Source organism: Homo sapiens, chromosome 1 (assembly GCF_000001405.40).
Source record: "Homo sapiens chromosome 1, GRCh38.p14 Primary Assembly".
In the NCBI taxonomy this organism is placed as follows: Eukaryota; Metazoa; Chordata; class Mammalia; order Primates; family Hominidae; genus Homo; species Homo sapiens.
The window spans coordinates 20,084,691-20,092,284 of NC_000001.11; the positions used below are offsets into that span (position 1 = coordinate 20,084,691).

The window sequence follows — 7,594 nt, forward strand, 5'->3', positions numbered from 1 at the left end:
CATCTTGTTTATTGCCCACCATGACGGGGAGTGGAATAGATGGGGCCTGGTGGAGAGCCAGGGTGGGATCTGAATGGGCCACGGGGGCATTGCCTGATAGATCTGTTGTGGGATGTGTTTTTTTTTCCAGAACCCCAGAGATGAAAGGCCTCCTCCCACTGGCTTGGTTCCTGGCTTGTAGTAAGTGCTGGCCCCGTGACCTTCGAATGAACTTTTACCCCATGGGAGTAACAGGGTGGTGAAAAGGACACCAGCCATTGAGGTCGTAGAGACTTGGGTTTGAATCTCGGCTCTGCACTGACTGCATAGACATTCAGCAAGAGCCTTCATGCCTCCGAGCCTCTGCTTCCTCATCTGGCATGGGCTAATGCAGTCCATGCGTAAGGCTGTGGCAGGGTCCTAGGAGATATTGTACCTCAGCTGTGTAAAGGTTGTGGACATAGAGGTTATGTGGCTGGCAAGTGTAGGAGGCAGATTTTTTCCCTGTATGCAAATAAAATAAGATTTACAAAATCCCCCAATCAATCCAAATAAAAATCAAAACTCTTATCTAAATATCCCAACCTATGATTCCTGGGTCATTCTCAGCTCAGGCTTGTCCAGCTGGGAAGTGACTGTATAGATGGCTTTAGTCCCATCCTGCGGCCCCGTGACCGTATATACAACCCCCGACAGGCTGTCCTGCTCCTTGATGTCTTGCTAGATCCCTGGAGACTCCAGGAGGAGCTGGAGGCCTGGTGCAAGGAGAGAGCCTTGGGCTCACTGTGAAACCCTGGACAGGGCACCTCTTCCCTCCATGCCTCAGTTTCCCATTAGTAAGATGAGGGAACTGGCTTCAGCGATTTCTAAGAGTCCCATCCTGCTTTTAGATTCTCTGCCTTATGTTCTAAAGGGTGTGAGGGGAGGGAGTGGTGGGGAAGAGGGATGTATTGCCAAGAGAGACAGGAAGCTCCTATCTGCCTGCTTCATGCAAATACATTATGAATTACACCTTATATGTCATGGTCACTTACTATGTGTCTGCCACCGTGCTCAAAATTTACATAGTTGATCTTATTTTAACCCTCATGACAACTCCAAGATGTAGCTGCTAATTTGGGGTCCCCGTTTTCCAGGGGATGAAACTGAGGCTCTGACTCCATTCAATACCATACTTTGAATTAGTGGCAGAGCCAGGATTTGAACCCAGGTCTGCTCATTTTTCAATTCCAAACTCTTAACCAGTTCTCCATACTGCTTGCACCTCCCTTCCCACTAATGGAGAGAATAAAAAAGAGACATGCAGGTCCCTCCAAGCCCTGGGTGGGAGAAAGGGTAGGAGATGTTGGGCAGTGGGCCTAAAGCAGGGCTGGGCTGCCTGGGTGTCACCTGGGGACATGGGCTATCTTCCAGGTGTGCCTGCTGTGCAAGGAGGCTTGCTGGACCTAAAATCAATGATCGAGAAGGTGACAGGGAAGAACGCCCTGACAAACTACGGCTTCTACGGCTGTTACTGCGGCTGGGGCGGCCGAGGAACCCCCAAGGATGGCACCGATTGGTGAGCTGATCGCTATAACTGCCCTTTAGGCTCCAGGCTCTGCACCCATGTTTTCTTATTCAATTCCATATCAGTTCTGGAAGATGAGTATTAAAGTACCATTTTACAAATAAGAAAACTAAGCCTCAAAGAAATTAGCTGGCAATCCCAAGATCTCAGTGGCCTAAGGTGTCAGTTGGTCAACTGTGGCGTAACAAGTGGTCCTCAATGTAGTAGCTTATACAGCACTGGTCATTTACTTTGCTTATGAATCTGCCATTTGGGTAGGGCTTGTGGGGATGGCTTGTCGCAGCTTCAGCTTGGACAACTGAGGCTGGACAATCCACCTTCCAGATGGCTCACTCCTATGGCTGGCAAGTGGTCAGCATCTCCTGGCCTAGGAGCGGGTCAGAGGCCTCAATTCCTGTCACTTAGGCCTCTCCAAGGATGTTCGGGATTCCTCCCAGCATGGTGACTCTTGGGTTGCAAGAGTGAGTGACCCCAAACTGCAAGACCAAAGGATATGGTGTTTTATGGTCAGCCTCAGAAATCCCATTGTGTCACTTACACTGTACTCTTGGTCAAAGCAGTCACAAAGGCTTTAAGAGGGAGGGCATCTAGATTCCACCTCTTGATCGGGAAGTGCTAAAGTTCTAGAAGAACATGTGAAATGGGAGATTTTGCTCCTTGGAAAGCATACCCAACTGGGTTAACAATTCTGATACTGCTAGACATATATAAAGGAAAGGGATGATTAAGCAAATGAAGGACAGATGGTTGGGGCCAAGTTTCTCACTGTTGGAGTGGGATAAGCCAGGGCAGGAAGCCAGAATGATCCATGTGCAAAAGGACTAAAGTTGGAGACATCAGTATGGACTCCTGTTTAGCTTATTGTAGATACAGATGTTTACATGTGGAAGTATGCATAGGTAGCAGTATGCATAGATATCATGGATATATTAGTATCATACTAATATAAGATGTAAGTAATAGGAGAAAATGGTGTTTCCTCTGTAAGATCTTCTCAGTTTTTCTGTAAACCAAGAATACTTTTTATGTGCAATCTGCTACACCTAACATACAGTCATCCCTCGGACTGGTTCCAGGACCCCTGTGAATACCAAAATCTGCAGATGCTCTAGTCCCTGATATAAAATGGCACAGTATTTTCATATAACCTGTGTGATCATATACTTTTTTTTTTTGAGACGGAGTCTTGCTCTGTCGCCCAGGCTGGAGTGCAGTGGCGCAATCTCGGCTCACTGCAAGCTCCGCCTCCTGGGTTCATGCCGTTCTCCTGCCTCAGTCTCCCAAGTAGCATATACGTTTTTTTTTTATACACATGGGCAAATAGAAACATTCTTTTGCTATCAGTGGAGAGGGTCTAAAAGAAATGACATCTCAGTAGCAACAAGCACACTTAATGCCTAGATCTAGTTTCCAATGTCATTCTTCAATAGAAGGCCCCTTCCAAGTCATATATATATATACAGGGTTCCTTGAAGAAATGGTCAATTCTAGGACCAAGGCAGGAAATATACGAGATGAGCCTGGAACTTCTTTTAGTGCCAAAAAGTAAGGAAGTGCTTAAATAAACGCAAACAAAACGGAAGCCCACATTGATGGGGATGTGACAAGTGGCACCTGTGCTGACTGAAAGAGCCCCCAGTGGCCAACCCTGGAACAATTTAGCAACAAAATAAATGGCCCCAAACTCCAGTCTTATCATGAGAAAAAAGAAAATCAGACAAATCCCAATCGTGGGGCATCTTATAAAATGTCTAACCAGTACCCCCTCAAAACAGTCAAGAACAAGGAAAGCATGAGGAACTGCCACACCCAAGAGGAGCCTAAAGAGACAAGACCATGGGCCGGGCGCGGTGGCTCACGCCTGTAATCCCAGCACTTTGGGAGGCCAAGACAGGTGGATGACCTGAGGTCGGGAGTTTGAGACCAGCCTGACCAATGTGGAAAAACCCCATCTCTACTAAAAATACAAAATTATCTGGGCATGGTGGCACATGCCTGTAATCCCAGCTACTCAGGAGGCTGAGGCAGGAGAATCACTTGAACCTGGGAGGCAGAGGTTTTGGTGGTGAGCTGAGATCGCGCCATTGCACTCCAGCCTGGGCGATGAGAGTGAAACTCCGTTTCAAAAAAAAAAAAAGGCAAGACAATGAAATGTAACATGGGATCCCCAGTGGGATCCTGGGACAGAAAAAGGACATTAGGTAAAAACTAGGGAACTCTGAATCAATTATGGCTTTTTTTTTTTTACAATTAGTGAGATAATGATGTATTATTTAGTGAATAATTATCAATAATGTATCAATATTGGTTCATTAATTCTAACATGGGTCTCATACTAATATAAGATATTAGTAATAGGAGGAACTGGGTGTTTCCTCTGTAAGATCTCAATTATTCTGTAAACCAAGAAAACCTTTTATATGCAATCTGCTACACCTAACATACAGTCATCCCTTGGACTGGTTCCAGGATCCCCGTGGACACCAAAATCTGCAGATGCCCTAGTCCCTGATATAAAATGGCATAGTATTTGCATATAACCTATGTGATTGTATCCCCCCAACCATTTTTTTTTTTCTTTGAGACAGGGTCTCACTCTGGTTGCCCAGGCTGGAGTGCAATGGTGCGATCTCAGCTCACTGCATCCTAGACCTTCTGCACTCAGGTGATTCTCCCACCTCAGCCTCCTGAGTAGCTGGGACTGCAGGCACGTGCCACCATGCCTGGCTAATTATATATACATTTTTAAATAGAGACAGGGTTTCACCATGTTGCCCAGGCTGGTCTCAAACTCCTGGACTTGAGCAGTCTGCCTTGGCCTCCCAAACTGCTGAGATTATAGGCATGAGCCACCGCGCCCAGCTGCGATCACATACTTTAAATCATTTCTAAATTATTTATCGTAGCTGATGCAACGTCAGTGCTATGGAAGTTGTTGTTGTATTGTTTGGGAATAATGACAAGAAAAAAGACTGTACATGTTTAGTATAGACACAAGAAAATAGGCCTGCTTACATTTTCCATCCATATTGGTTGATCCACAGATGTGGGACCTGTGATACGAGAAGTTTATTTCTGGATCACATAACAGTTCAGTAGGAATCACACGTTGGCTCCTCCCATCTTGTAGTTCTGCCATCCCCTATGGCCTCAGAATTCTTTGCTGGGTCATCTCCATCCAGCCGAAGGATGGCGGCAGAAGGACAGTGGAGTAAACTGTGGGAAGTTTGTCTGGGCAGGTCTGGAGGTGGAGTGTATTAATTCCACCTACCTCCCCTGGCCAGGACCAAATCATGTGGCCACACCTACTCGCAAGGGAGGCTGGGAAATGTAGTCTAGTCGTGAGACCAGGAGGAAAAAGAGGGTCCATGACCTGCTGGCTAGAAATGAGGAGCAGGAAATTACTCAGTCACACTACCAGATCCTCCCTGCCACATCGCGTCCACCAAGGTGGCCTCTGCTAAAGTGACATGGTTGAATTTTTGCTCCTATTAGGGATGGGGTCAGGAGGGCACCCCTCCCACTCGGGATCTAAGTCTCTTGCACGGACAGGTGCTGTTGGGCGCATGACCACTGCTATGGGCGGCTGGAGGAGAAGGGCTGCAACATTCGCACACAGTCCTACAAATACAGATTCGCGTGGGGCGTGGTCACCTGCGGTAAGGCTGGGGCTTCCCGTTCGGGCCATTGGAAGAGCACCTGACTTTAAGTTCAGCTGCCCTAGAGAACAGCCAGCCTGTATCTTGTTGGGGGAGGAGGAGTTGGGTGCAGAACTGGGACGAGAGGAGCAGGATTATTGCAGCTGTATCAGACCCCCAGGGTAGGGCTGAATCATCCACTGGGTGCAAAAGTGCTTGACATGCTTCCTTTTTCTTGATTCCCCCACAAAATACCTGTAGAGTATGTTTAGGCTTCTCCATTTTAGACATCAAGAAATGGAAGCTAGAAAGCCTGCCAGTGCACACAGCAGGATTCAAGCTCAGGGCCTCTGAGTTCAAGGCTAAATCTGGGGATGGTTCTGCTCTATGAGAATGAGAGTTCCTCCAGAGCAGCGGCTGCCTCCACCATCAGACTGGGAGTCCCCCAGAGGAAGGAAGGTGCTTCCTCTATCAGACTGGGAACTCCCTGAGGGCAGGAGCTGTCTCCTGCACTGAAACCTCACCCTGAGCAGCAGCTGTGCCCCTTCCATCAGATTCTCTATTCCCCCGATTTAGGAGCCATGCCTCTTCCATCAGGCTGAAAGCTCCTCGGAGCAGGAAGTCCATGGGGTCTCTGCTGAGACTGGAGCATGCTCTTCCCACCCTCATTCTGCTCTTGGTGTCCTTTTGCAGAGCCCGGGCCCTTCTGCCATGTGAACCTCTGTGCCTGTGACCGGAAGCTCGTCTACTGCCTCAAGAGAAACCTACGGAGCTACAACCCACAGTACCAATACTTTCCCAACATCCTCTGCTCCTAGGCCTCCCCAGCGAGCTCCTCCCAGACCAAGACTTTTGTTCTGTTTTTCTACAACACAGAGTACTGACTCTGCCTGGTTCCTGAGAGAGGCTCCTAAGTCACAGACCTCAGTCTTTCTCGAAGCTTGGCGGACCCCCAGGGCCACACTGTACCCTCCAGCGAGTCCCAGGAGAGTGACTCTGGTCATAGGACTTGGTAGGGTCCCAGGGTCCCTAGGCCTCCACTTCTGAGGGCAGCCCCTCTGGTGCCAAGAGCTCTCCTCCAACTCAGGGTTGGCTGTGTCTCTTTTCTTCTCTGAAGACAGCGTCCTGGCTCCAGTTGGAACACTTTCCTGAGATGCACTTACTTCTCAGCTTCTGCGATCAGATTATCATCACCACCACCCTCCAGAGAATTTTTACGCAAGAAGAGCCAAATTGACTCTCTAAATCTGGTGTATGGGTATTAAATAAAATTCATTCTCAAGGCTAATAAAAACCACATTGGCATTTTCCTCTGCTGTGGGGGATCGCTGGTGCCTCTTTCTCTGCCACTGGGGCAATAAACCCAAAGATGTCTACATTATCTCCGAAACAGAAGGGAAGATTAGTAAATGCAGGGTTTTCTGGGATGAGCTTCAGGCTTTCTCTTGGGCTAATTTTCTTACACCTTGGGGTCCTCTCCAGTATTGGGTCTCATTCTTCCTCGATGGGGTCAGGGAAAGATAACTGGTGATTATGCCAGCTTCAGCTTCCAGGCCAGAGAGGGTGGCATTCAAATCCCAGTGCTGGCTTCTTCAGCTGTGTGGTCTTGGACCCGTTACTGAACCTCTTTGACTTTCAGTCTCTTTGAGAAATAAACTGTCTTGTTCCTTGCAATGTAAAATGAGACTTCTAAAGCCCACCTTGATGCTGATATGGAGAATGCTGAGGTTCTAGGATTTCACACAGCAGGAATTTTTTTTTAATAGGTGTCAGCTGTGGGGTTTATTTTTTACAAAGTAAGGACATTAAAAAAACCAACCCGTCTATCAATTCATAAAAGAAAGGATGTTCTGATACCAAGACTGAAAGAAGAAAGGATGTATTCCAAAACAAAGGAACATCCTTCCAAGAAAGGACCTATGGCTTCTTTATTCCGACATACCCCAAAATAACTGCATGATAAATAGGTCTATATTTAAAAAGCTCTAGTGTCGAATGTTTTCAAAATAAAATTTAATTTTATGAGATTACCCTGAATGCACCAGTGCTTTAGAAAAGTTTGATTTAGACTCGGTGTCTATATTTGACAATGCCACACAGGGAGGGACTTAAATGCTGAATTTGCTCATGAAATATTTAAAATCAAAGCCATTTCCCAGATCCAATTTTGAATGGGTATGTGGGGGAAATTGAAGTCTTCACTCTAATCCCATTTTCCTTCAATTGTGATATTCTGGATGACAGAGAAGAGAACCCAGTCCAGACTTCTCCCTTCTCCCATGGGGGTCAGGTGGGAGGCAGGGCAGTGTTTTGCTGGTAAGTTCTGCAGGAGGGGGTGTGGGCAGGCCCTTCTCATTGGCACATCCCAGCTCAGAGTCCCAGCATCCACACAGGAGCAGGATGCTATGAG

At 47.3% G+C, this 7,594-nt stretch overlaps 1 protein-coding gene across 17 annotated transcripts in view, besides 2 other annotated features; it reads left to right on the forward strand.

The window, feature by feature from the left end:
- PLA2G5 (phospholipase A2 group V) overlaps nt 1–7,221 on the forward strand; it is a 63,504-nt gene extending 56,283 nt beyond the window's left edge. For all 17 annotated transcript variants that reach the window (XM_047422608.1, XM_047422616.1, XM_047422645.1 and 14 more), the window contains 4 exons: nt 131–180; nt 1,393–1,537; nt 5,099–5,205; nt 5,878–7,221. In XM_047422608.1, coding sequence (XP_047278564.1) covers nt 131–180; nt 1,393–1,537; nt 5,099–5,205; nt 5,878–6,002 — 427 coding nt within the window. In that variant the 3' untranslated portion in view covers nt 6,003–7,221. The remainder of the gene's footprint in view (nt 1–130; nt 181–1,392; nt 1,538–5,098; nt 5,206–5,877) is intronic.
- Nucleotides 5,526–5,695: an enhancer, noted in NCBI's record as "experimental_1661 CRE fragment used in MPRA reporter constructs". NCBI's record gives its function as "activates a minimal promoter by MPRAs in K562 erythroleukemia cells, with activity observed for both the introgressed and non-introgressed 1:20416794 variant alleles {active_cell/tissue: K562}" and the evidence as "EXISTENCE:reporter gene assay evidence [ECO:0000049][PMID:34662402]".
- Nucleotides 7,169–7,338: an enhancer, noted in NCBI's record as "experimental_1663 CRE fragment used in MPRA reporter constructs". NCBI's record gives its function as "activates a minimal promoter by MPRAs in K562 erythroleukemia cells, with activity observed for both the introgressed and non-introgressed 1:20418437 variant alleles {active_cell/tissue: K562}" and the evidence as "EXISTENCE:reporter gene assay evidence [ECO:0000049][PMID:34662402]".